Below are 27,675 nucleotides of genomic sequence, written 5' to 3' on the forward strand. Positions count from 1 at the left end.
AAGCTATAGACTTAGAGAACCTAACAAACATTTACAGAATATTCCACTCAACAGCTGCAGAGTACATGTTCTTCTCAAGCACACATGGAACATTCTCCAATATTCATAATAGCCAAAAAGTCCAAACGACCCAAATGTCCATCAATTGACGAATAAATGAATAAAATGTGGGCCAGGTGTGGTGGCTCACGCCTGTAATTCCAGCACTTTGGGAGGACGAGGCAGGTGGATCAAGAAGCCAGGAGTTCGAGATCAGCCTGACCAACATGGTGAAACCCTGTCTCTACCAAAAATACAACATTTAGCCAGGCGTGGTGGTGCGCACCTATAATTCTAGCTACTCGGGAGGCTGAGGCAGGATAATCGCCTGAACCCAGGAGGCAGAGGTTGCAATGAGCCAAGATCATGCCACTGCACTCCAGCATGGGTGACAGAGTGAGATTCTGTCTAAAAAAAAAAATAGAATGTGGTATATTCATACTATGAAACATTATTCATCCATAAGAAGGAATGAAGTACTGATACATGCTAGAATACAGATGGCCCTTGAAAACATTATGCTCTGAGGAAAAAGCCAGATACAGCTAGGCTACATATTGTATGATTCTATTTACTGTGGTACCTCCTTACCTTCAGGAGATAGATTTCAACACCACTAGTGGATGCCTGAAACTACAATAGTATCTACTTCTATGATACTATGTTTTTTCCTATGCATGCATACCTATGAAGTTTAATTTATAAATTAGTCACCATAAGAGATTAGTAACAATAGCTAAGAATAAAATAGAAAAACTAGAACAATATGCCAGCTTCTGTGAAGGGAGAGTTACGTGAAAAACAACCACGTATGCCAGCAACACTGCTCTTGAACTTTGGGTCTTGATTAAGTGAATGAAGTGTTGCTGGAACACAAGCACTGTGATACTGTGGCCGTTAACCTGGTAACGGAGAAGGCTCCTAAGTGACTAACAGGCTGGAAGTGTAGACAGCGTGGACCATGCTGGACAAAGGGAGCGTTCATGTCCCGGGTGGGACAAAGTGGGATGGCGAGGGATTTCATCACGCCACTTAGAATGATGTGCAATTGAAAACTCATATATTGTTTATTTCTGGAGTTTAATCTTTTAGGACTGTGGTTGACTTCAGGTAACTGAAACCATGGAAGGTGAAACCACAGATAAAGCAGGACTACTGTATTTAAAATGTCCAGAGGAGGCAAGTTCATGGAGACAGAGATCAGTGGTTTCCAGGGGGGGTGGGGGGCAGCAGGAATGGGATGTGACTGCTTGATAGATACAGAGTTTCTTTCTAGAGTGAGAACAATGTTCTGGAACTGGCGGTGATGACTGCACAACTTCTGAATGTACTGGACGCCACTGCATTTGTACAATTTATTTATTTTATTATCATTATTTTTTTGAGACAAGGTCTCACTCTGTCACCCAGGCTGGAGTGCAGTGGCACAATCATGGCTCACCGCAGCCTTGGTCTCCAGGGCTCAGGTGATCCTCCTACCCCAGCCTCCTGAGTAGCTGGGATTACAGGCATGCACCACCATGCCACCATGCCAGGCTAATTTTTGTATTTTTTGTAGGGATGGGGTTTCACCATGTTGTCCAGGCTGGTCTCAAACTCCTGGGCTCAAGTGATCCTCCTACCTTGGCCTCCCAAAATGCTAGGATTATAGGCGTAAGCCACTGCCCCCAGCCTTACACAATTTAAAATGGTTAGAATGATGAATTTTACATTGAATTCCACTTCATAGGAAATTTTTTTTAAAACAACAACAAACCTCTTTAATGGACACATAAATTCCCTGGGGGTCTGATTGCAATGCAGATTTGGATTAAGGAGTCCGGGTGGGTCCTGAGACCGTGCTCCCCTTGCTTCTCACCTATGGCCACATTTTGAGACGCAAGGCCACTCGAAGGGCCCCCACCTCTGTGAATCAACCCCTGCTCCATCTGCCCCTATAAATAAGGGAATGCTAAAGCACAGATGGCGGGAGTGGGCGTGTCCCCAGGTCTGAGCCTGGAGGGGGTGGCCGGCCTCCCCCAGGCATGGAAGTGGAGGGAGAGGGGGCTGTAAACGGGTTACTCTGTCAGCAGACACAGAGGAGACCAAAAACAGTAGCTTTTATTTCACACGAAGCTGAGGAAGGAAGGCGAGAGGACAGCGCTGGCTATCAGAGGGTGCTGCCTGGCAGGTGCACCACCTCCAGCTGCTGGGCTCCAGCTCCGGGGCTCAGAAGCCATCTGAAAGAAAGCAGCGGCCTCCACTGAGCAAGCTGGGGTGCTGCAGGGTACCCGCCCCCGTGGTGCTCAGCAGTGCCTTCCCTCCCCTCCCCAGCCCCCGGGAACTCCTCCTGCGCCAGGGACACAGGGATCAAGGAGAGAACAGAGTGCAACCCCATCCCTGCCTGATCAGTGGGGGTGCCCGTCTTCCCTGCGACGGTTTTGGGGTGGAACAGGAGTGGCTCCTCAGGGGGAAATGAAAGGAACTGAGGAGCTCCAGTCGTGAGAAGGCCAATGAAGCAGGTAGCTTCTCTGCGCCGGGGTTGTGCTGAGATGTCATCTAGGGCCGGCTCTTCCAGAACCTCATTTGACGCTGGGAGGCAGCGACCGGGTGTGGGGGCGGGGTGGTAGGGGAGGGGAGCAGGGATGATGCGGTCCCGATTCCGTCCCCAGGGGGCGCTGGGACCCTCCCTGCTATCCAGGCTACACCTGTGCGGCGTAGCAGCCGTCCCCGTCTCGCCTGCACAGCGCCAGATGACAGCAGCCCAGAGGCTGTCCTCTGCCACCTGCACTGCTCACCTTTTCCGAGGAGGTCGGGGACGGGGCTGAAGGGTCCCCCGGGCAGGTTCCAGGCCAGGTCCTCTAGCAGGCCCAGCAGGCCTTTCACCTGTGTCCCCAGGTGATCCACGGTCTTCTCTACCATCTAGAGTGAGAAGGTGGGTAACGTCCAGGACAGGAGTGGTGCCACGTTCTGCTTCATTAGCCAGGTCCTAAGAAGCAGCTGGCGGTCCAGTGGGGTGCAGTGGAAAAGGACTGGGAGCTGCGGGACCTGGGTTTTCCTCACTCAGGCTCTGCGCCTACCTGCCTCAATCTCCCCAGATGACAATATCCTATGGGGCTCGCTCTCTAAGGCTCCTTCCTTTTTGGCACTCAGTCACAGGTTTGGATAAAGCGCGTGTAGATTACCTTCTCCCTTTTGGACTTTGCAGCCTGGAGCTCACATTCTTTTTGTTATTCTGCTCCCTGGTGGTGTCTCTGCCAAATGACAGGTCTGGGATTTTGAAATTTACTCAGGGTTCTTAATGGTTTTTCCCTGTGTATGCCATGGACCCCATTGGCAGTGTGGTGAAGCCTACAGACCTCTTCTCAGAATAATGCCTTAAATGCAAAAAATAAAACATATAGAATTACCAAGAGCACCAATTGCTTTAAAATATTATTCAAGTATTAGGCCAGGCGTGATGGCTCACACCTATAATCCCAACACTTTGGGAGGCCGAGGTGGACGGATCACCAGAGGTCAGGAGTTCGAGATCAGCCTGGCCAATGTGGGAAAACTGTCTCTACTAAAAATACAAAAAGAAAACGGGCACGGTGATGCATATCTGTAGTCCCAGCTACTCGGGAGGCCAAAGCAAGAGAATCGCTTGAACCGGGAGATGGAGGTTGCAGTGAGCCGAGATCATGCCGTTGCACTCCAGCCTGGGCGACAGAGAGAGACTCTGCCAAAAAAAAAAAAAAAAAAAAAAAAATTCAAATATTTAAAATTAAACTTTTTGGCCCAGCACGATGGCTCACGTCTGTAATCCCAGCACTTTAGGAGGCCGAAATGGGCAAATCCCTTGAGATCAGGAGTTTGAGACAAGCCTGGCCATATGGTGAAACCCCATCTCTACCAAAAATACAAAAAATTAGCGGGGCATGGTGGTGCATGCCTGTAGTCCCAGCTACTCAGGAGGTTGAGGCATGAGAATCACTGGAACCTGGGAGGTGGAGATGGCAGTGAGCCGAGATTGTACCATGCACTTTAGCCTGGGTGACAGAGCAAGACTCCATCAAAAACAAAATTTAAAAATTTGGATATATGTATTGGCCGGGCACAGTGGCTCATACCTGTAATCCCAGCACTTTGGGAGGCTGAGGTGTGTGGATGGCTTGAGCTTAGGAGTTCGAGACCAGCCTGGGCAATATAGCAAAACCTTGCCTCTACAAAAAAATACAAAAATTAGCCAGGCATGGTGGCACATGTGCCTGTAGTCCCAGCTACTTGGGAGGCTGAGGTGGAAGGATTGCTTGAGCCTGGGAGGTGGAAGTTGCAGTGAACCGAGACTGCACCACTGCACTCCAGCCTTGTCGGCAGACAGAGACCCTGCCTCAAAAAAAAAAAAATGTATTTATTAACTCACTAACTCACATGATCTAACATCAGGCCTAACAACAACTGAAATTTTGACATAATGAATGATATAAATGTTCTTCTATTCATAACTAGAAGAAGATGAAATTATCTGGATTTCTATTGGTGACAAAGTTATAGTACTATTAACACCACGGCTTGCTGTCTGTAATTTATGATGAATGGGAATGCTCAATTTCAGTTAAAGGCTTGTGACAATAAAGATGTAAACTTTTCCCCACACAAGTTAGGAATCGTGGCTATATAACAAAACAGTGACTGGATTTCCACCTTCCCATCCAGTAATGATGCTGAAATGTCCTGGTGGGGGTAAGTAAGGCCTTAGGGGAGGCAGGGTCCATTGGGGGCTCGCCAGCCTGGCAGCCTAGATGGGAGGGTGATGTTGGACAAGGTGGCCCCAGGGCAGGATTGGCCTGATGTCCTGACATTCCAAAGCAAGCTTGCATCTGCCCATAAAAACATCATCCTAGAAGGTGGTCCTGAAACCACATGTCCTTCCAAAGCACCCTGTTACCTCCTCTATGACATCTAGATGGCATTGCATAGCCATGTGTCTGTCACATGCTGTGCTCTGAGCTGAGTCTCCTCAGGGAGCGATGAAGGGTTCTGCAGCTGTGGGAAAACAAGTCTTGTCACTGTGGGACCCTTAGTTTTCCACAATGCCAGAGACTTCTGTAAATACTGGGCTCAAGTGAGGTCAGTCCTCAAAGCAAACTCAAGAGCAAGAAGAGGATGGCCCAGGTGGGGGTCAGTGTGCGACTGTCAGTTATCTCAATCCCACCAATCTCTACAGTGGCAGTCACCTACAGACCCAGATGGACTTCCTCAAGGAGGTGAAGCCCAGGGAGGAAGGGAAGGCGGGCTTCAGCCAGGAAGAATGGCACCTGCAATGATGGAGAGGCCTGAAAGAGCATGGCTCACTGTGCAAACCCTGCAGGGAGCCTGCAGTGGCTGGAGATACAGGGTGGGTGGGAGAGAGACTGGAGAGGGAAGTCCTGGAAATGAAGCCAAGGGGACAGAGCTTTAACCAAGAGGCTTTCATAAACCAGTTCTGATGTTTGTTTTTGTTGTTGTTGTTTTGTTTTGTTTTGTTTTTGATGGAGTCTAGCTCTGTTGCCCAGGCTGGAGTGTGATGGTGCAATCTCAGCTCACTCCAACCTCTGCCTCCCCGGTTCAAGCGATTCTCCTGCCTCAGCCTCCCGAGTAGCTGTAGGAATAGTGAGAAAGAAAATGAGAGGAGGTATTTCAGTAGCAGCATTGACACTGGGAACCCATTAGTAACAGCTGTCATGTGATGAGTGCTTACCATGCACCATGTAGGGTGATCACTTAACCTCTCCAACAGCCTGTTCTTATGCCCAATCTACATGTAGGAAAACTGATGCACAGAAGGGTGAAAGGATGTGTCCAGAGTCACTACTCATAAGCAGAGGATCTGCCATTCAACCCGCTCAACTCCTGATTGAGCACTGTTCTCCTTGAGTTAGCTCTTCCAGGCACCATCAACCTTCACAACAGAAGTCTGAGATCCCTGATTCCAAGCTCGGATTTCAGAGTTGGTAACCCTGAGATGCCTGTGGGGCATCAGGGTTGGCTGGAACCTTGGAGAACACTGACACTCAGGAAGGAGAGTGCTGCCCCAGCAGTCAAGAGAAGCCAAGAGCTTTACGGATTCTACAGGGGATGAAAAGTGTTGGCATAGCCGAAAGCAGCAGGGAGGTCTAGCAAAATAAGGACTGGAAACACAGCATGGGAAAGGCCCTGCTAAATTTCACCCCAGCACTTTTAGGAGTGGAGGAAAAGCAGAGTTTGGATTACCATGACATGAGAAGGGAAGGTGAGGTTGGGAGTGGAAACTTGGATTCTGGAAAATTTCATGAAGCTTGGCTGTGAAGGAAGGGAGATTGGATCGCAAGGTCTAGAGAAGTATTTATGGTTGTCATTTGTTTTTGTTTTTGTTTTAAACACTGGAAAACACAACCATGCTTACAGCCTGAGGGACAGGAGGAAGACAAGAGAACCCAAGGAATGCACTTCCTGAATTGATGGGAGGCCCTGGATCCAGAGCGGGTGGGAACACATCTGGAAGGAAGACAGAGGGAATGAAGCAAAAATGGGCAAAGGTAAACCATCTAACTAGAGGGCCAAAAAGTGGAGTGAGCTCCCACCTGATAGCCTCTATTTACTCGGTGCAGTAAGATGGAGATCACGTAGGGAGGAGAGCTAGATGTTAAAATTTCAAGAATTCTATGAGTAGGTTGCTAAAAACAGACATTAAAATAGTGACCATGGTGTCTGGAAATGGTAGCTCATGCCTGCAATCTTAGGACTTTGGGAGGCCGAGTGGGAGGATCACTTGAGGCCAGGACTTAGAGACCAGGCTGATCAACATAGTTAGACCCCTATCTCTAAAAAGAAAAATTTTTTAAGTAAAAAAAGAAAAAAAAATTGTGGCCATGATGAGAACATTTACATCACAGAAATCAACACCCCCCCCGTCCTTTTTTTTTTTTTTTTTTTTTTTTTTTGAGAGCCAGTCCATCAGTGTACCACTAGGTAAGGGACTTGAATAAAAAGAGGGCTTCAAAAGGGGATGTGCAGAATGAGGGATGCAGTGGAGGAGGACCATGAAGAATGAGCTGGCATCAACAAGGAATCCTGGAAGCACAAGTCCTCCCCCAGCAGTGCTCCACAGTCTGGGTGCAAAGACAGATGGCCGGATGGAGCTGAAACCTAGGAGTCTGCAGGATGGATGTGGTGGAAGCAAGGGGCCAAGGAACTGAGATTTGGCCAGCCAGGGGTTTAGGAGAGGAGCCCTGGAATCCAGCTGGGATAAGGAAAGAAATGAGGCCAAGAAGAGGGCCAATAAATTGGGAGAAATGGGGGCTGAAGAGACTGGAGGTCTTAGGAATCACAGGAGGAACAAGAGGTAAAGAATATTGCAATTTTAGCTTTTAGAGTTAGGGCAGCTTCAGATAGTGACAATATTAAGGCTGTGGCCATGGATGTGGGCATCCAAAGCTCAGCTGGGGGAGAGAGTTATGGAACGGATCTCTGTACATGCAGTGTCTGTAGCTGTAAGGCCTTGGTGTTGGATGGGTTGGCCAAGGGGTCATCTGCAGTTGTCTAGAAGTGGGGCAGGTCTTGAGATAGGATGGAGCTGGTGATGGATGTGTAACTCTGAGAGGCCGAGTGATTTGTCTAAGGTCACACCATCTGCAAATGCCTGGAACTCAGGCACCCTCACCTCCAGGCCTCATCTCAGCAAGATGGGGCCCCCTGCCCTGTGATTTTCTGATTTCAACTCTATCTAGCTCTCAGCTCTTCCACTCAGGGATGAGAACAAGACCAGGAACAAAACGTCCTTCCACTCTGAGCATCTTTTGTGGAGAACAATCTGTTTTTCAAATTCTCCTTTTCATTATTTCCCTCCACTGAACTTAGAAAAGATTCTGCAAAAGATCATGGTGTTATTGCTGAATCTGGGGAGGGAGGAGGACATTATAATGGTGCTTTGGTTATTTTTTTATGGTGAGTCCTTTAAAGACCTATACTGAAATATTTACAGATGAAATGCTATACTGTCTGGGATTTACTTCCAAATAATCCAGGCCTGGGTGGGGATGGGGGAGAGGCATGCGTGGATATTTAGAGCAAAGAGGATGGGCTGACAGTTGCTAATTGCTGAAGCTGGGTGATGAGCACACGGGGGTGCATTCAGCAATTCTCTCTACTTTTGTGTGCATGGTTTGAAATGTTCCATAACAAAAGCTGGCTGTCTGGCGGGGTTGTCAGCAGAAAGCAGCAGCCATGGTGGGCTGCAGGCATCCATGTAAAATATTCAGAGAGAGAGAGGCCACTGGGGGCTATGCTCCATCCTGGCCCCACATTCTGAGAAGGCCCTTGAGAGGCAGGAGCAGGTCTAGAGAAGGCTATGGGAAGGGACTCCTTTTTTTTTTTTTTACAGGGTCTCACTCTGTCACCCAGGCTGAAGTGCAGTGGCACGATCATGGCTCACTGCAACCTCTGCTTCCCAGGTTCAAGTAATTCTCCCACCTCAGCCTCCAGAATAGCTGAAACTATAGGCACACATTACTGAGCCTGGCTAAGTTTTGTATTTTTTGTAGAGATGGGGTTTCACTATGTTGCCCAGGCTAAGCTCGAATTCCTGGGCTCAAGTGATCCGCCCGCCTCAGCCTCCCAAACTGCTGGGATTATAGGCATGAGCCACCGCACCCAGTCTGGGACTCCAAATTTTAACTCAATTGTCTCAGCTGAAACTGGGCTGCTCGGCTTGGAGAGGAAAAGCTCTGAGGAGGCCCGAAGAGCTGTTCTCACCCACAGAGTGGCCGACCTGGGAGAGGGCCTGTCATCATGAGTCTGTGGATACACACACCCCCTGCTGGCTCTGTCCAGAGGCCTTTGGCCAAGCCTTTCCCCGGAGGCTCACCTGCCCTCTCCCAGACCCTAGCCACTCTCCCCTCACACACCTCCCCCAAGCTCAGACCAGGAGGACGCAGTGTGACCCTGCCAGCCAAGTGGGAGTCTGGCTGCTTTGGAAGTCAGGAGCAACCAGAGCCTGCTCCTCTCCACTGGCCTAAAACACCCTGTTCTCTACGTGTCTGTGACAAGGTCTAACTTGGCTCCAAAACCCCTCCAGGGAAAAGGCTGGGCTGAGGTCACTCCCCACATGGCTCAGCACTAATCCTTCACATCTGGACACAATTGTGCTCTGTGCACCCTGGAGCAACTGTCCATGAGGTCATCAAGGCCTCCACGGAGTGCATCTGAGAGAACAAGCTTGGAGCAGGGCCTAACATTGTACTGCCTGCTCCCTCTGCACCAGAGTCCTCACCATGGCGCTGACTTGAACGCATCATGGCAGAAAACATGCTGGAGACCCCTGTTCTCAGCCTGGTTCAGCCACTAATGATTGTGGGATTGTGAGACAGTTCCTTCTCCTCCCTGAGCCTCTGCTGCCTCCTCCATAAAATGGGGGTAGGGTAGGCTTGAGGCCCTGAATCCCCCATGTAGCTCATCCTTAATTCTTCTCTGTCTTTCAGAAGCTGCAGAGAGGCCTCAAAAATTAGCTACAGGGGCTGGGCTCAGTAGTTCACATCTGTAATCCCAGAGCTTTAGGAGGCTGAGGCAGGAGGATCGCTTGAAAAGAAGTTTGAGGACACCCTGGGCAACATAGTGAGACTCTGTTTCTACAAAAAAAAAAAATTAAAAAATTAGCCAGGATTGGTGGCTTATGCTTATAATCTCAGGTATTTGGAAAGCTGAGGTGGGAGAATCGCTTGAGCTCAGGAGTTTGAGACTACAGTCAGCTACGATTGCACCACTGCACTCCAGCCTGGGCAACAGAGAAAAACCCTGTCTTGTATTAAAAAAAAAAAAAAAAAATTAGTAGACACGCACATGCACCCACGGGGCTGTCAGTGGCTCAGACAAGGGGAGTGGAAAGGCTGAAGGATTATGATGATTAACCCTGAGCAGCCAAGGCTGTGGCTCCACAGGGCTCCCTTCCTTCTTTTCTTCCCGCTCTCCCAGGCACCGCCAGTTGGGAAATGGACCTCCTTGGATGCTGCATTGTTTTCTCTGGCCCAGCTCCTGCTTGGGGCCTGATGTACACCCTGGATGGTGGCTACAGGTGGGGCACCCTGTGCTGGTGAGTACAGGCTGCTGTGGAGCCCAGAAGCCCCAGGGGACGGCTGGGCTGGGCTGGCTGCCCCAGTTAAAGAGACGTGGCCCCTGGGTCCCATCCTTTGAGGCAGAAGTACCGCTCCATCTACTTCCAGGCCTTATGGGGAGACCTTTTGTATCTGGACCCAAACAGTAAGAAAGTGCCACAACGCAGATGATTTCTGCGTGCTCGGTGATGAGAAATGTTTTCTCAGTGGCATCTGTGAAAGGTGCTGCTGTATCTTCCGAATTGTCAAAATCACACTCTGCTTTGAAAAACAACCCTGACCACCTGGGGGTTAATTATATTTGACCACATTCAATACAATACAATAATAAATTTACCACATCCAATATTTGTATTAAAATGTATGATTCATTCAAAATGATCCATGGGTTTTGATTATTTTTGAAAGCAGCAGAACACTATTCTTCAAGTGTTTCTATAAAAAACTCCAAAATGCGGGCCGGGTGTGGTGGCTCATGGTCTAAAAAGCCATCAGGGATAAAGGTTTCTCTGAGTGCTGCTAAAAGAAACCAAGACTGGGGCCCAGTGTGGTGGCTCATGCCTGTAATCTCAGCACTTTGGGAGGCCAAGGCAGGCTGATCACTTGATGTCAGGAGTTCAAGACAAGCCTGGCCAACATGGAGAAACCCCCCTGCCCCCGTGTCTACTAAAAAATGCAAAAATTAGCCAGGTGTGGTGGTGCACACCTGTAATCCCAGCACACTGGGAGGCCGAGGCAGGTGGATCACTTGAACCCAGGAGTTCGAGACCAGCCCGGCCAACATGGTGAAACCCTGTCTCTACTAAACACACCAAAATTAGTCAGGTGTGGTGGCATGTGTCTGTAGTCCTAGCTGCTCGGGAGGCTGAGGCAGAAGAATCACTTGAACCCGGGAGGCAGAGTCTGCAGTGAGGCGAGATTGCACCACTGCATTCTAGCATGGGTGACAGAATGAGAGCCTGTCTGAAAAAAAAAAAAAAGAAAACATACAATGCCTGGATTTCCTTTAAAATAATCCAGGGAAGGGAGAAAGGGTGGAGACTATAGATAAGAAAAAACTGCCCATGAACTGATACTTGTTGAAGCAGAGTTAATAGTACATTATATCATTCTTTCATATACTATTATTTTGTATTTTTTGTATCCAAAAGTTTTCATAATAAAGAGTTAAGATATATCATCTAAAATCTGAAAGAATATGCACAAAAATGTAGGAAGTCAATGTGAAATTACACTAACACATGAATACTTTCCTCCTTTTCTTCTTCATTTTTTTTTTTTAGACGGAGTCTTGCTTTGTCACCCAGGCTGGAGTGTGGTGGCTTGATCTCGGCTCACTGCAAGCTCCGCCTCCCAGGTTCAAGTGATTCTCCTGCCTCAGCCTCCCAAGTATCTGGGACTACAGGCTTGTGCCACCAGGTCTGGCTAATTTTTTGTATTTTTAGTAGAGACAGGGTTTCACTGTGTTAGCCAGGCTGATCTCCATCTCCTGACCTTGTGATCTGCCCGCCTCGGCCTCCCAAACTCCTTTTCTTCTTTATCTGTAGCAATGAGCATGCATAATCAGAAAGAAAAATAACGTTTAAAAGTGGGTTTAAAGTCTCTGTACAAGTTGTGGCTAAAAGGGGCACCAAAAGTAGCCACTTGTGGGCAGGCTGCTCCCTCCTCCCTCCGGGAGAAACACAGGTGCTGCTTTGTGCCCTTAGCTCCTGGAGCCTGGGGCTGAGCTGGGAGGGAGTAAAGGGGAGGGGGGTGGCAGGGTGTGTACTGGGGCCTGTATTCTATGCTGAGCAGAGTCCCAGCCACTCCTCGTGCAGCTTGTGAGGAAGCCATTGGTGGTCATCTTTAACAGGTGGGTAAACTGAGGCTCAGAGAGATCAGTGGAGTCATCTGAGAGAATGTATGTTGATGCATGTTCCCTGCTGGGCACTTCCTCTCTTATCTAATCTCTGAGGCCAGCCCTGTGGGGTGGGTATCATTCTCCCCAATTTATAGAGGAAGAAACAGCACCAGAGAGGGGAAGGGACTCACCCAAAGCAGGGGATCCCGAGGGCTGGTCTGGATCCTTTCCCCAAGTGCTTAATCCCACAGTTCACCGGGCCCTGAAAGGCACTAGGGGCTTCTATCTTAGTACAGGACACTTCTGCCAAGGTCGGGGCAACGACTTGTGGGGGCAGGAGGCCTGGATGCTTTGTGAGGGCTCTGCGTTGGCACCATCATGAGATCTGAGCTTTCCCCTCACCTGGGCAACTGGAATGAGCAATAGCCATCCCTGGCTAAGTGGGATTGTGGCTTGTAAACTGTAAAGTCCTGTGCAATGTGCAGGGTGGTGGAATGAGCATCTGTGTACCGCCCCAGACTGCAGTCTAGTAAGTCACTTGACATGAGTCACCCTGTCTGAGCCTCACCTGTGAAGGGGCAACATTAAGCTGAGGGGGGAGGTGGGGGGAAGAAAGGGGACAGCGAAAGGCAAGGAACCCAGCTAATGGAGTACCGAGACAGCCTCTCCCTCCCACACAGCTCTGCATCTCCATCCAGTCCCCCATCTCCACCCAAAACAGCTCAGTTCCCCAGAGAAGCTCCCTGGAAACCGGGAGGCTGACTTCTTCACCAACTGCAGAACCACCTGAGGCCACCTGGCAGGTGAGTCGGTGGCCTTTCTCCTGGGCTCGCCTGCCTGGCTCCTTAAGGCTGTGCTGGGCTGGCCTGGGTCACTCACCCTTTGGAGTCTGGCTTCTTAAGCAATGTCCTATAAAGCCAGGCCTGAGCCTCCGCAGGCCCTCTGAGATGGAGCTGGCCTCCGGGGCTGCCCCACCCAGCAGCTGTGACCTCCCACCCCGGATCCTGGCTCCTTCTCTCTTGCAAGCTCTACTCCGGGCATCGAGCTTCCCTCTCTCTCTCCTTTTTGGTATCTCTCAAATCTTTCTCTTTTCTTATCCTCTCTCCCTCCACCCCTTGCCATTTTAGTCACTCTTTCTCTTTCCTTCTTCTCTTTTGTCTCTCAAACTCTTTTTTATTTCTATCTTGGTTCATATCTGTTCAGGGAAAGCCTCTTTCTGTCTCGGCCTCTCCTTTTTTCCTGTTCACTGTTTATTCTTCCCTCTCTCCTTTATCTCTCCGTTGCTCTACTTCTCTGCCTTTTTCTGAGTCTGTTTCCTCTCACCATCTCTCTCTCCATCCCTCCCTCCCTGTATCTGCCTCTCTCTCCATCTCGCTGCTGTGTCCAGCTCTGTCTCTTGCTCATTCCTTCCTCACCATCTGCGGATCTCCCCGGCTCCGTGTCCCCTGCCATGCCCCGCGCCCCACTCACCGGCCAAAGCGCCCACGGCACAGAGCAGGGCCAGCCCGGCCAGCGCGCAAAGCAGGGGCCGCATGGTGCCAGCCTGGCTGAAAGCAGCGCGGCTTGCGACCGCAGCCGCCCTTCCCGGATCGCGCCCGGCCGGCCCAGAAGGAAATGCTCTCAGTCCGAGCCAAACTTCCTGGGCGACTCCGGGCTTTCTGGCTGGAGAGAACCCGCCCCCTCCAGAGGCTCCTGCGCACCCCATGGGCAGCGCAGAACCCAGAAACCCCCGGGACCTGAGGCACTGACGTGCCACCCGGGAGCCTCCGGAGGAAAGGGGGCCGCCCCCCCCCCCGAGTCCCCGCGCCTCCTGGGGGCACGGGAGGAAGGAGAGGGGTTGGGTGAGGTCATGGGCTCAAGGCGACTGAGCCTGGGATCAGGAGTTTGTTATAAGCCCATTTCACAGGCAGGCAGACTGAGACTAGAGAGAAGTGTCTTCCTCAGCATCACTCTCAGCCATGGCACAAGATCTGAACTCTCGTCTCCTGGGAGTGTGGAAGGTTTTCTCTGTCTACCGAGAACAAGAAATTAATTCTAATCACATGGAACAGTGTCTGCCCCTAAGAGGGAGACCCAGACACTCACTGCTCTGGTAAGGGAGTGATAGCAATGTGAAAAGGTACTTTTCAAAAAAAAAGGTAAAATCATGACTCTTGTAAAGATATGAAATTAGCATATACTAAAGGTTTTATTTAATTCATTATTAATGAGGGGACAAGTAAGATGGTACAAGCAGTCCAAAGTTTAGAACACAGTAGTGGAAACTTCCCCTATGGGACATGCCCATCCAACAAGTGCAACAAGAAATTAAGTTTTAGTGAAAACACCAAGGAAAAAAGCTACAGCTCCAACTTCTCTGCTGCAGAGCCCTGAGTGCCTTGCCTGGCTGTAAGAGGAATACTTTCATCACCAAGCCTAGGAGAATGCCTTTGTCCATTGAGGGTCCCCATTGGGGTTAACTGGAGCCCTTGCAGATCAAGGCTGCCTCTGCCTTCTGTGTTCCTGGCTGTGGCTGTGCAGTTGTCCATAACAGTCACCACCCTAACCAGTGATCCAGTTCTCACTCCCTCCTCCAGAGCAAGATAATAGCCTCAAATGAAGAAATTCAGATTCTGAGCCCGAGAATCTGAGACAGACTCAGATCTAAATCTTTTTAAAGTCTTCAAGGAGTTTATGATGCCCAGTGAGCTGGCTCAGAAGAATTTATTTCAGGAATGCCAAGAATTTCTCATGCTTGTTGGTAGGACATTCCTTGATAATTTAGCCAGGTGGGAAGTTGTCAAAGAACTGCCAAACCCATAAGGATTCTTGTAGCTCACAGCCAGGGGACGACCTTATATTTTGAATTTAAGATTAAGGGAAAAAAAGAAACACAAAAAACATATACAGTACATTCTTGTTGTGGTAGAGCACAAAGTAATTAAGTATACAGAGAAAAACATGAAAGTCTTTTCTGTTACAAATTCCCTCTGTCCAACGATTCAGGTCCAGTTCCCTTGGCTTGGTAGGCTCTGCCTGTTCCACATCTATGCATTCCCCGTCTATCTAATGTGTATTCAGAGACAAATGTATATACATGAGATCAAATCATAAATATTTTGAAGATTTGCTTTCATTCATGTTTACCTCAGTCATAACATTAAATCTTGGCTGGGTGCAGTGGCTCACACCTGTAATCCCAGCACTTTGGTAGGCCAAGGTGGGTGGATCACCTGAGGTCAGGAGTTTGAGACCAGCCTGGCCAACGTGGTGAAACCCTGTCTCTACTAAAAATACAAAAATTAACTGGGTGTGGTTGTGGGTGCCTGTAGTCCCAGGTTCTTGGGAGGCTGAGGCAGGAGAATAGCTTGAAACCAGGAGGCTAAGGTTGCAGTGAGCCAAGATTGCACCACTGCACTCCAGCCTGCGCAACAGAGCAAGACTTCGTATTAAAAAAAAAAAAAAACTTGGAGATCAATCTATGTGAGTACAGATAAATCTAAAATATCTCATGAATAGATGCAAGCAGCATTATTTATCCAAACAGTCCCCTATTGACGGACATCTAGATTGCTTCCTTTTTCTCTCCAATATAAAATAAACTTTAATAAATATACCTTTGCATATATTTTTATGTACATAGTACATATTCATGTATTTCTGAAAGGCTGGAAGAGGAATTATTGGGTCAAAGGGTCTTTTACATTTTGCCAGATAGGCCAAAAACTGTTCCCCAAATTGTCACTAAACCCACAGAAGGGACAGGAGGGACAGGGGTCTTCCAGCGCGGTTCCAAGGTGCACTGGAGTACATGTTTGGTCTACGTAAGAATTGGGCTGCAGGGGGCGCCATTTACATAAAATACTTCGGGATTGGAGCTACCTGAAGTGTAAACCTAGCGGTCACCTACATTCTCCAACATTGGATATTTATCATTTAAAATTTTGACAGCTCGATGATGGAAAATGTTACCTTGTTGTTATTTTTACTTACATGCTATTTATTATGAGTGAGGTTAAGCTTTATTTGCCTCGATTACTTTTTTCTATTTTCCTCCTTTTCCTTTATATACTCTGATTATTAATGCAATGCCTGTTATATATGTTGGCAATGTCTTCTTCCAGCCTTCCATTATCTTTACGTTTCTTGGTGGTGTCTTTCATTATTCAGGAGTTTTAAATATTAGGTAGCCAAATCTAATATTTTCTTTTCTGGCTTATAGTGTTTACAACTTGCTTATGATTCCTTGAATCAAGGCTGTAAAGATATTTTTCTATGTTTTCTTCAAATTGTTTTAAGGTTTTCTCAAGGTCTAATGTCTAATCCATCTAAAATTTTTATGTGGTTGCAAGGAAGGAATCAAACTTAAAATTTTCCCTAAATGGATATCTAAATGTCCTAATTCTCTGTATTGCGTGGTCCAAACTTTGCCACTACTTTGAACATAAAGTAGTTTGCTAGCTACTCATTTCCAAGGGGAGTTCTGGGAAAATCTCTGTACATCACATCTGTCACAAGGTCAAGGAAACAAAAATGCAAAATAAACATAATTTCAATAAATACTGAAACCATATTTGATGAAATTAAACAACCCTCCCTAACTTAAAAACAGTAATAGCAACAAACTTACGATAAAAATAAAAGAAATAATGGGACATTTCCTTAACAAGATAACTACTTTTTAATTTTTACACTTATAATTTTTCAAATTAAAAAAAAATAGAGATGAGGGGCTTGCTGTGTTGCCCAGGCTGGTCTTGAGCACCTGGGCTCAAGTGATCCTCCTGCCTCGGCTTCCCAAAGTGCTGGGATTACAGGAATGAGCCACCGTGCCCGGCCAACTACTTTTATCTTAAATAGTTCACATGTACATACAAGAAAAAGGAGAAATGTATTCTTTATTAAATCAGGAATGAGGTAAAGATGCCATATTGACCAGGCATTGTGGCTCATGCCTGTAATCTCAGCACTTTGAGAGGCCAAGGTGGGAGGATCACTTGAGCCCAGGAGTTCGAAACCAGCCTTGGCAACACAGCATGACCCCATCTCTACTAAAAATTAAAAAAAAATAATAAACATTAGCCGGGCTTTGTGGCATGTGCCTATTACTGGGGAGGCTGAAGCAAGAAGATCGCTTAAGCCTAGGAGTTTGAGGCTGCAGTGAGCTATGATCATACCACTGCACCCCAGCCTGGGTAACAGAGTGAGACACTGTTCTAAAAAATAAATAAATAATTAAAAAATTAAAAATTAAAAAAATTTTAAAAGATGCCACTATCAACAAGTGTTTGGCTGGGTGCAGTGGTTCATGCCTATAATCCCAGCACTTTGGGAGGCAGAGGCGGGTGGATCAGTTGAGGTCAGGAGTTCAAGACCAGCCTGGCCAACATGGGGAAACCCTGTCTCCACTAAAAATACAGAAATTAGCCGGGCGTGGTAGCACACGCCTGTAATCCCAGCTACTAGGGAGGCTGAGGCAGGAGAATCACTTGAACCCAGAGGGCAGAGGTTTCAGTGAGCCAAGATCGGGAAACTCCTGGGCAAAATGATAGTATGGAGCCAGTGGACCCAGTTAACAAACCTCCTCCTTCCAATATTCTCTAAAGTGACCAGTGAAATTAAAGATAGGGGAGACTGGCATCAGTGGCAGGAACTAGAGAAATATGCCAACCATATGCCAAGCCTCAAAGCAAGGGGGTAGCCAGCTGGATCTAATAATACCTCTTATTATTTATTATTCTATTATTTGCTAAACTTCTCTGAACCCGGTATTGTGCTGGGGCTGTATATGCATTATCCTATTTAATCCTTGCGTCAGTAAGCCTATCAAGTAGATATCCTTATCCCCATTTTAAAAAATAAGATCTATTAAATATATTTGATTCAAGGGTGGAGGGTGGCAGATCCCAGTTTGGAAGCTAGGTAGATCTGGTTCCAAAATTCATGGTCCTCAGCATGATCAGGCCCCTTGACTCTCAAGTCCCAAGAAGGGCACTAAATAGAGAATCTGGAAAAGAGTGGAGGTGAGAAAGGGACAAATGGGATATAGGGGGCACAGAGGGGCAAGACCTGTGCAGTTAGGGGAAAACGCTCATAACCACCTGCATGAATGAAGTGTCCTAATGTGCAGACGTTCCTCTTTCACTTAATGCTCCCATGACCCTGGCAGGTAGCCTCATAATCCATGCAGATTGTGACAGTACCTGCCATGGTCATGGGAGCATGTAGAATGTGAGGCTTGGAGAAGTTAGGAGGTGGCCCAGGGCACACAGGTACTATTTAGGAATTTGGGGATTTGCCTCCCAGGCGCCTGTGTTGCCTCCACAGGCAATGCTACAGGATGTGCACAGGTCCTCCCAGCCTGGCTGGGCCGGGGCACAAGTGGTGGGGAATCTGGCAGGGGCTTGCTCTCCCAACTCATACCCAAAGGCAAAGGGCAAAGGAAACAGGAAATAGGGGCTGGTCATCTCTCTGGGGAGAGAAGTACGCTGAGAGGACAGCCCAATTAAAAGAGCCTCAGTGGTTGGGAGGGTCTGAGCTGTACAAAGCCTCCTTGTCTTCTCCCTCTGGCACAAGAGAGGATTTCCAGAGATACCAGGAAGACCCACAATGGGAGAGTTCTCAGTGAGCACTGGGCAAGGCTAGCCCGCTCTCTGCACAGATGGACAGGGGCTACTAACCCAAGGCACAGAAGTTATAGCCGGAGAAAGTGAGCCAGTGAAGTGTGAATGTGGATGTCTCTGTTGAGGGAAGGAAAAGGAGGGGGCGACACGACAGGTTGAGATTTAAGTTTTTTTGAGGTTGGATGCAGTGGCTCACTCCTGTAATCCTAGCACTTTAGGAAGCTGAGGTGGGAAGGTGGCTTGAGTTCAGGAGTTCAAGACCAGCCTGGACAACATAGTAATACCCTCTCTCTACAAAAAAATTTAAAAATTAGCCGGGTGTAGTGGCACACACCTGTAGGCCCAGCTACTCAAGAGGCTGAGGTGGAAGGATGACAAGCTCGAGGCTGCAGCAAACTATGATTACGGCACTGCATGCCAGCCTAGGTGACAGAGTGAGACTCGTCTCAAAAAAAGAAAAAGAAGGTTTTTTGTTTGTTTCTTTGGTTCGCAAGTTTTATTCAAGAACTCATACAAAATATTCCAGATAAATGAAATTTAATCCTCATCTTCCTCCTCTTCCTCATCCTGGTTAATTTGGAAGTAACATAACTCTGCTGTTAGCAGCTACACAAACCAATCACATAGATTATTCTTCTTCAAAATTTTTTGGTGTGATATTTCAAATATCTTTTGGAAAAAGGCACCTCAGATGTCATGGTGATCTTGCTCTTGCTCCTTTCGATGGTCACCACCCCTCCACCAGGTTTCCCAGCTTTTCAGTTCACTTTGATCCTCTCTCGGAAAGGCTGTTCAAAATTGGCAGCGTCCATGATTCCGTCTTCCACGGGGTGGCTGCAATCTAGAGTGAACTTCAGAACCTGCTTCTTTTTTTTCCATTCACCACAAGCTTTTTCCCAGGCGCCATGGCGGCAGTGGAGGCAGAAAGAGAGCTGTTTCTTTTTAAATTGTTATTAATTTTGTAAAGTTTCAGTAGCTTTGGGGGTACAAGTTATATTTGGTTACATGAATGAATTGTAAAACGGTGAATTCTGAGATTTTAGTGCACGCACCACCCAAGTAGTGTTCATTGTACCCAATATGTAGCTTTTTATCCCACACTCCCCGCCCATCCTCCCCCTTCTGAGTTTCCAGGGTCTATTATATCACTCTGTATGTCTCTGTGTCCTCATAGCTCAGCTCTCACTTAAGTAAGAACATATGGTATTTGGTTTTCCATTCCTAAGTTACTTCACTTAGAATAATGGTCTCCAACTCCATCCCAGTTGCTTCAAAAGACATTATTTCGTTCCTTTGTATGGCTGAGTATTAGTCCATGGTGTACATATACCACATTTTATCCACTCATTGGTCAGTGGGCACTTAAGGTGGTTCTGTGCCTCGGGAATTATGAACTGTGCTGCAATAAGCCCCCTTTCTTTTTTTTTTTTTTTCTTTTTTTAGACGGAGTCTCGCTCTGTCACCCAGGCTGGAGTGCAGTGGCGCAATCTCAGCTCGCTGCAAGCTCCACCTCCCGGGTTCATGCCATTCTCCTGCCTCAGCCTCCCAAGTAGCTGGGACTACAGGCGCCCGCCACCACGCCTGGCTAATTTTTTGTATTTTTATTAGAGACGGGGTTTCACCGTGTTAGCTAGGATGTTCTCGATCTCCTGACCTCATGATCCGCCCGCCTCAGCCTCCCAAAGTGCTAGGATTACAGGCGTGAGACACCCCGCCCGGCTCTGCCCCCTTTCTTAAATGTGGCCCTGAATCCTCCCAGGTAGGATAAGCTGTAGGAAGATGGGGAGGTCTGCTTGGTACAGGGAGAAGCCAAGTGTAGCGTGAGGGTAGAGGTTTAATACTAAGAGTTATGGCTGGGCGTGGTGGCTCACACCTGTAATCCTGGCACTTCAGGAGGCCAAGGTGGGCAGATCACCTGAAATCAGGAGTTTGAGACCAGCCTGGCCAACATGGTGAAACCGCATCTCTACTGAAAATAATAATAATAATACAAAAAAATACAAAAATTAGCCATGTGTGGTGGCACACACCTGTAATCCCAGCTACTCAGGAGGCTGAGGCATGAGAATTGCTTAAACCCAGGAAGCGGAGGTTGCAGTGAGCTGAGATTGCACCACTGCACTCCAGCCTGGGTGACAGAGCAAGACTGTCTCAAAATAAATAAATAATAATAATAATATTGGCCGGGCGCCATGGCTCATCTTGTAATCCCAGCACTTTGGGAGGCCAAAGTGGGTGGATCACTTCAGGTCAGGAGTTCAAGACCAGCCTGGCCAACATGGTGAAATGCTGTCTCTACCAAAAATATTTTTTAAAGTTAGCCAGATGTGGTAGCACGCACCTGTAATCCCAGCTACTCAGAAGGCTGAGGCAGGACAATTGCTTGAACCCGGGAGGTGGAGATTGCAGTGAGCCGAGATAGTGCCACTGCACTCCAGTCTGGGTGACAGAGCCAGACTCCATCTCAAAAATAATAATAATAATAATAATATTAACAGTTATAATACCAATAGTTAAAACAGCCAACATTAATGATTTTGACTTCATGTCCAACCTGGTGTGTAGCACTATATAGTCTGTTTTTTTTTAATTTGTAAAAATTATATTATAGATTTATTTTTTCTGATTAAAATGTGTTTAATTTTTAATTTTTATGGGTATATAGTAGATATATCTATTTATGGGGCACAAGCGATGTTTTGATGCGGCATACAATGTGTAATAATTACATCAGGGTAAATGGGGTATCTGTCACCTCAAGCATTTACCATTTCTTTGTGCTACAGATATTCCAGCTGTACTATTTTAGCTACTTTTAAATGTACATAGAAAAGGTACAGTAAAAAGAAAAAGAAAAAAACATAAAATGTGCAATAAATTATTGTTGACTGTAATTACCCTGTTTTGCCATCAAATAATAGATCTTATTCATTTTAACTATATGTATTTCAATAGTTTTTGGAACAGGTGGTTTTTGGTTACATAGATAAGTTCTTTTACATATATATATATATTTCAATAGTTTTTGGAACAGGTGGTTTTTGGTTACATAGATAAGTTCTTTTTTTTAAATTATACTTTAAGTTCTGGGATACATGTGCAGAATGTACTGGTTTGTTACATAGGTATACACGTGCCATGTTGGTTTGCTGCCCCCATCAACCTGTCATCTATATTAGGTATTTCTCCTAATGCTGTCCCTCCCCCAGCACCTCACCCCCTGACAGGCCCCAGTGTGTGATGTTCCCCTCCACGTGTCCCTGTGTTCTCATTATTCAACTCCCATTTATGAGTGAGAATATGCAGTGTTTGGTTGTCTGTTCTTGTGTTAGTTTGCTGAGAATTATGGTTTCCAGCTTCATCCATGTCCCTGCAAAGGATATGAAGTTGTTTTCTTTTCTTTCCTTCTTTTTTTTTTTTTTTTGAGACAGGGTCTCACTCTGTCGCCCAGACTGGAGTGCAGTGGCACAATCTTGGCTCACCACAACCTCCACCTCCCAGGCTCAAGTGATTCTCCTGCTTCAGCCTCCTGAGTAGCTGAGATTACAGGCATGCGCTACTACCCCCCAGCTAACTTTTGTATTTTTTGTAGAGAGAGTTTCACCATGTTGACCAGGCTGGTCTTGAACTCCTGATCTCGAATGATCCACCCACCTTGGCCTCCCAAAGTGCTGGGATTACAGGTGTGAGCCACCGCACCCAGCCAACATGCATGAGCTATTTAGTGGCAATTTCTGAGATTTTGGTGCGCCCGTCACCTGAGCAGTGTACACTGTATTCAGTGTGTTGTATTCTATCCCTCACCCCCTCCCACACTCCCTTTCCCCAGTCCCCAAGTCCATTATATCATTCCTATGCATTACATCCTCATAGCTTAGCCCCCAATTATAAGTGAGAACATACGATCTTCGGTTTTTCATTCCTGGTTACTTCACTTAGAATAATGTTCTCCACCTCCATCCAGGCTGCTGCTAATGCCATTATTTTATTCCTTTTTATGGCTGAGTAGTATTCAATGGCTACATAGTCTATTTTTCAGTTAATCTTGGCTGCTACCCTATGCAATGGGTTCTGTGATTCTCCCAGAGCTTAGCAATAGCAGTTTTCCAACCAGTGTCTTTTGAATTGATAAATCCACATTTAGAAGGGGAGGAAACTGGCCTAAATTGAGGGCCCAGCAAAAGAACTCAGCCACCCGCAGTGCCTGGTGTCCATGTAGTCGGTTTTGAGATGTTTTAGCTGCAGATTCACATTGCTAAGTGTCAATTCAGTTCACTGTGAAATCCGTCGCTATTTCCTGAAAGTGCATCAAGCTATGAATTCCCTGTGGCTTCGGCGGGTAGAAGTGGGTTGGCATTTCCCTCCAGCTCTTTGAGAATTTTCTCTGCAGTGCTCTCTAGGGAGATGATCTTATTTTGGCTCCCTGAGGTGAGAGTCAGAGTAAAATATAAACTGTCTGAAGACATTGCTTGGCTGACTGTTCAGAGCATTTCCGAGTTAGTATCTCTTAGTAAGGGAGGCAAAGGAATTGAGTTCAAATCGTGACTTTGTTCTTGCTAGTGGTGTAGCTTCAGGCAGTTCACCTCCTCTCTCTGAGCCTCACCAACAAAGAGGGAGTAATAATAACACCGATGATCACAGAAGAATGTGAATTCTCTTGCTCCCTGCCTCTAACCTGCTTTCCTGGGCCTGTCACTATGTTTTCTTTGCTGGGTGTACTTGCAGGTTATAAGTCTCCTGAGGGCAGAGAGGGTTGTGAGTAATGCCAGCTAGGCCTGCAGAGGCCCCGGAAGAGGATCAAGGTTTCCAGGAGAGATGACTGTTGACCAAGGAAGAGCTGGCAGCTAACTCTGCTTCCTGAAGGTGTAAAGTAAAGGCCCCCCGAAAGGGTCTTTAAACATGAGTAGGAGTTTCTAAGCAGTGCATCCTTCATGCCATGGAGATTGATGGAGGTGTGTGGGCGGCAGGAGAATGGGCAGTAAATCTGGGGGAAATTTTGGTCAGATTATGGGGGGCCTTGAATGCCACTCTCAAAAGAGTAACCCTTCATGCTGTAGGCAGAGGTGCCAGCAGAGTTTTTGGCTGAAGAATTACACAAACCCATCCAATTCCCTCTTTCTTTTTCTTTTTAAGTATTTTTCCTTGGAAATAATTTTGAGTTTACAAAAAGAGTACAGCAAATTCTTGTACAACCTTCACCAGCCTCCCCAAATATTAACATCTCACATAGCTACAGAATTATCAAAGCCAGGAAATGAACATTAATGCAATCCTGTCTGTGAATCTACAGACTTCATTCAGTGTTGCCAGTAGCCCCACTAACGTGCTTTTTCTCCTCCAGAATGCGATCCAGGACTGCACGTGGCATTCCGCTGCCGTGTCTCAGTGGGATCCTTCCATCCAGAACGGCTCCTCCGTCTTTCTCCTCCTCTCATAATTTTGACAGTTTTAAAGCATCCAGGCTATTTTTGTCTTTCATAACCTTGACACTCTTGAAGAGTACTGGCCAATTATTTTGTAGAATGTCCTCCAACTTGAGTTTGTCTAGTGCTTTCTCACAATGAGAATGAGGTTTTGTGTTTTTGGTGAGAACACCACAGAAGCAGGTTATACCCTTCCCCATGCATTATATCAGGAGGCACATGTGATATTGCTGCATCCCATTACTGGAGACGTTAACTTTGAGAGATGATGTAGCAAAGATTTCTCCATTGTAAAATCCTATTTTTCCTTCTGAACTTAATGAGTATCTTACAAGGAGCTGTCTTGGAGACTATGTAAATATCTTGTTTATCATCATACTTTCACCAACCAATTTTGGCATTCATTGGTGATTCTTGTCTGCAATATTAATTACCACTGTGTTTTCCAACAGATGATTTTTCTACTTTCATAATTCCTTCTCCATTTATTAATTGTAATTCAGTGGTAAGGAAGAGCTGTCCCTTCTCTCCCAATTACTTATGCAATTATTTCAGTATAGACTCATGGATATTTAGTTTATTCTACCAGTGATAATCCATGACCAACATCATTTGTATCATTGTTCCAACTGTCCCAGGTATGGCCAATGTAAGCATCTTCAAGTCACCCCTTGTGTTTGTTTGAAATGCCCTTATTCTATTTTGAGCACTTCCTTTCTGACATAAGATGTTCCAGGATTATTTTATAATTTCACTGACCCCACCCTGTACTTAATCATTTCTCCAAAGAACTCTGCTTCCTTTATTGAGGGAATGTATTTAGAATCTAAGATCTGGGTGCTGGATGTCCTCATTGTTACTGAGGTGTCACTGTGTCTAGGGCCTCTCAGCAGACAGAGCTAGGGAATATGGGTTACCAACTCTGAAACTATTTTATGGGTATTCTGAGATTGAGCAAATAAGTAAATACATTGTATTTAGTGGGAGGGAGGCATCTCACTGTCAAAGAGAGAACTACAAATAAAAAGGGAAGGGCAAAGTGAACCCTATTGTGTTAGATTAGAATCAGAGGCATCAGCATGAGCTCCTGATTTTTAGTGTATGTACAGATTGACAGATATAGAAATAAATATGACCTGGCAATTCCATTCCTAGGCATATACCTAGCAGAAATCCATGGTCATAAAAAAAAACATGGACAAGAATGATCATGCTGGGAGTGGTGGCTCACGCCTGTAATCCCAACACTTTGGGAGGCTGAGGCAAGCAGATTGCTTGAGTCCAGGAGTTTGAGACCAGCCTGGGCAACATGGCGAAACCCTGTCTCCACTAAAAATACAAAAATTAGCTGGGTGTGGTGGTGCATGCCTGTAGTTCCAGCTACTTGAGAGGCTGAGGTAGGAGGATGGCTTGAGCCTGGGAGTCAGAGACTGAAGGGAGCCAAGATTGTACCACTGCACTCCAACCTGGGGAACAGAGTGAGACCCTGAAGAAAGAAAGAGAGAAAGAGAGAAAGAGAAAAGAAAGAAGAAAGAAAGGAAGAAAGAAAGAAAGAAAGAAAGAGAAAGAAAGAAAAAAAGAGAGAAAGAGGAAGAAAAAAAAAGAATGATCATAGGATCATAGCTGCACTATTATCATAGTCCTAAGCTGTAAACCACGCAAATTCCCGTTGACACCAGACTAAAGAATGAATGACCGACCACTACATGCAACATTATGGATGAAAATACAATTGCGGAAAGACATTTTCTCAAAAAATGCTGTGTGATACCATTTATATAAAGCACAAACCAGGCAAATTAATCCATGTCACAAGAACTCAGTATCAATTTTCTGCAAGAGAAACGAGGGGGTTTCTGAGCTGCTGGTAGTGTTCTGTCATTTGGTCTGGGTGCTGGTTGCATTGGTGTGTCTAATTCTTAAAATGTATATACATTATTCATCAGTAAAAAGTTTTTTAAAATATTCATCTCCTGGCTCTAAGCTTCATTTTATCTTCATTTCAACTCAGCTGCTGCAGGGACCCCATAAAATGAATAGAGTAGGACTAACTTCTAAACCTGCTCTGCTTCTATTCCCTTCCAGACTAGGATTGATATTTTCCCTCCAGGATTGAGACTCCTGTTAAATTTTCTTTTATTTCCCCTTCTTTTCTTTCTTTCTTTTCTTTCTTTCTTTCTTTTTTTCTTTTTCTTTTTTTTTTTTTTTTGACGGAGTCTCACTCTGTTGCCCAGGCTGGAGTGTAATGGTGATCTCGGCTCACTGCAGCCTTCATCTCCTGGGTTCAAGCGATTCTCCTGCTTCACCCTCCCAAGTAGTTGGGACCACAGGTGTGTGCCACCATGCTCAGCTAATTTTTGTATTTTTAGTAGAGACGGGGGTTTCACCATGTTGGCCAGGCTGGTCTCGAACTCCTGACCTAAAATGATCTACCCGCCCTGGTCTCCCAAAGTGCTCATGATTAAAGGCATGAGCCACCGTGCCTGGCTTCCCCCTTTTCACAAGTTCGATTTTTTTCTTTTTCCTGTTCTTTTTGTTTTGTTTCGTTTTTCTTTTCTTTTCTTTTTTCTTCTTTCTTTCTTTTTCTTTTTTCCTTCTTTCTTTCTTTCTTTTTTTTTTTTTCAGGCCTAGGACTCTTGATCCAGTCCCACCTGCTGGTGTAGGTCAGGAAGAGATTATTTTAGCCCCACCCAACTAGGAAGCTGCGTAGATGTAGGGGAGGAAAGCAACTTGCCAGGGGCTACCCTAGGTAGGAGATGTGGCTATATTCCAGAGTTGTTGAAGGTTAATACCAGCTAATGTTCTTTCAGTTACTGCCTTCCAGGTATTCACAACAAGGATTAAGGAAGAGAATTAAACTCTAATGCAATAGGCTTCCATCATTTGTAATGAATTAACTTCCATTGTCCTCATTGTTAAAAGATACATTTATTAAAATGGATAAAAATCATCAGCCTGGAGTGGCTGCTCATGACTATAATAGCAGCATTTTGGGAGACTGAGGTGGGAAGATCGCTTAAGGCCAGGGGTTCAAGACCAGCTTGGGCAATATAGTGCAACCCCCCTCTACAAAATAATAATAATAATAATAACAATTAGCCAGGCATGGTGGCTCAAGTGTGTAGTTCTAGCTACTCAGGAGGCTGAGTCAGAGAACCACTTGAGCCCAGGAGGTCAAGGCTGCAGTGAGCCAAGCTTGCATCACTGCACTCAAGCCTGGGTAATAGAGCAAGACCCTGTCTCAAAAAAAATAAATAAATAAAATAAAATCATGACTCTCAAACAGCAGATTATAACTGACTCAAAGGAGAAGTCAAAAAAGCTACATTTGTATGGAGCAAAGGAATGTTGAAACAAACGCACCAACAGAGCTCAAGCCAGCTTCTTCCAGGGTGGCAAAGGGAATTCCACTGAACCTCTACTGGCAGGACTAAATGTACAGGTCTAGAGCCAAGAATTATTTTTCATTTCTATCAGTTATCTACATTTTACAAGCTGTAAAATAACTCCCATGGAGTCAAAAGCAGATAATGTGAAAGGGTGGACTATAGGCAATATTTAATTTTCCATTGAAAGGAAATTTTTCCTACACTTTCCCTCTGTTTTGATAAAAAATAACCTCATCTATTCCCGGGTAATTCAACAATAGTAACATATCAAATATACCTGTTTATTTCTGGCAC

The 27,675-nt window shown here is 46.2% G+C and overlaps 1 long non-coding RNA gene and 2 pseudogenes across 2 annotated transcripts, besides 2 other annotated features; 1 reads left to right on the top strand and 2 right to left on the bottom strand.

The window, feature by feature from the left end:
* Positions 1,743-2,558: an enhancer, noted in NCBI's record as "H3K4me1 hESC enhancer chr2:130680057-130680872 (GRCh37/hg19 assembly coordinates)". NCBI's record gives its function as "activates a minimal SCP1, AML or CMV promoter by ChIP-STARR-seq in naive H9 embryonic stem cells {active_cell/tissue: H9 hESC(naive)}" and the evidence as "EXISTENCE:reporter gene assay evidence [ECO:0000049][PMID:30033119]".
* PLAC9P1 (placenta associated 9 pseudogene 1) lies at positions 2,121-13,576 on the bottom strand (annotated as a pseudogene). The gene is made up of 3 exons (NR_026740.1): positions 13,438-13,576; positions 2,817-2,940; positions 2,121-2,258 (listed from the first exon to the last, which is right to left on the bottom strand). The product of NR_026740.1 is annotated as a placenta associated 9 pseudogene 1 (transcript).
* Positions 2,436-25,962, top strand: LINC01856 (long intergenic non-protein coding RNA 1856). The gene is made up of 4 exons (NR_110285.1): positions 2,436-2,540; positions 9,988-10,105; positions 12,648-12,770; positions 23,911-25,962. It is a non-coding gene; the product is annotated as a long intergenic non-protein coding RNA 1856 (long non-coding RNA).
* Positions 2,559-3,372: an enhancer, noted in NCBI's record as "H3K4me1 hESC enhancer chr2:130680873-130681686 (GRCh37/hg19 assembly coordinates)". NCBI's record gives its function as "activates a minimal SCP1, AML or CMV promoter by ChIP-STARR-seq in naive H9 embryonic stem cells {active_cell/tissue: H9 hESC(naive)}" and the evidence as "EXISTENCE:reporter gene assay evidence [ECO:0000049][PMID:30033119]".
* On the bottom strand, positions 19,051-19,497 carry RPL22P7 (ribosomal protein L22 pseudogene 7; annotated as a pseudogene).
* Positions 25,963-27,675: the final 1,713 nt, after the last annotated feature.

Source organism: Homo sapiens, chromosome 2 (assembly GCF_000001405.40).
Source record: "Homo sapiens chromosome 2, GRCh38.p14 Primary Assembly".
Classification (NCBI taxonomy): domain Eukaryota; kingdom Metazoa; phylum Chordata; class Mammalia; order Primates; family Hominidae; genus Homo; species Homo sapiens.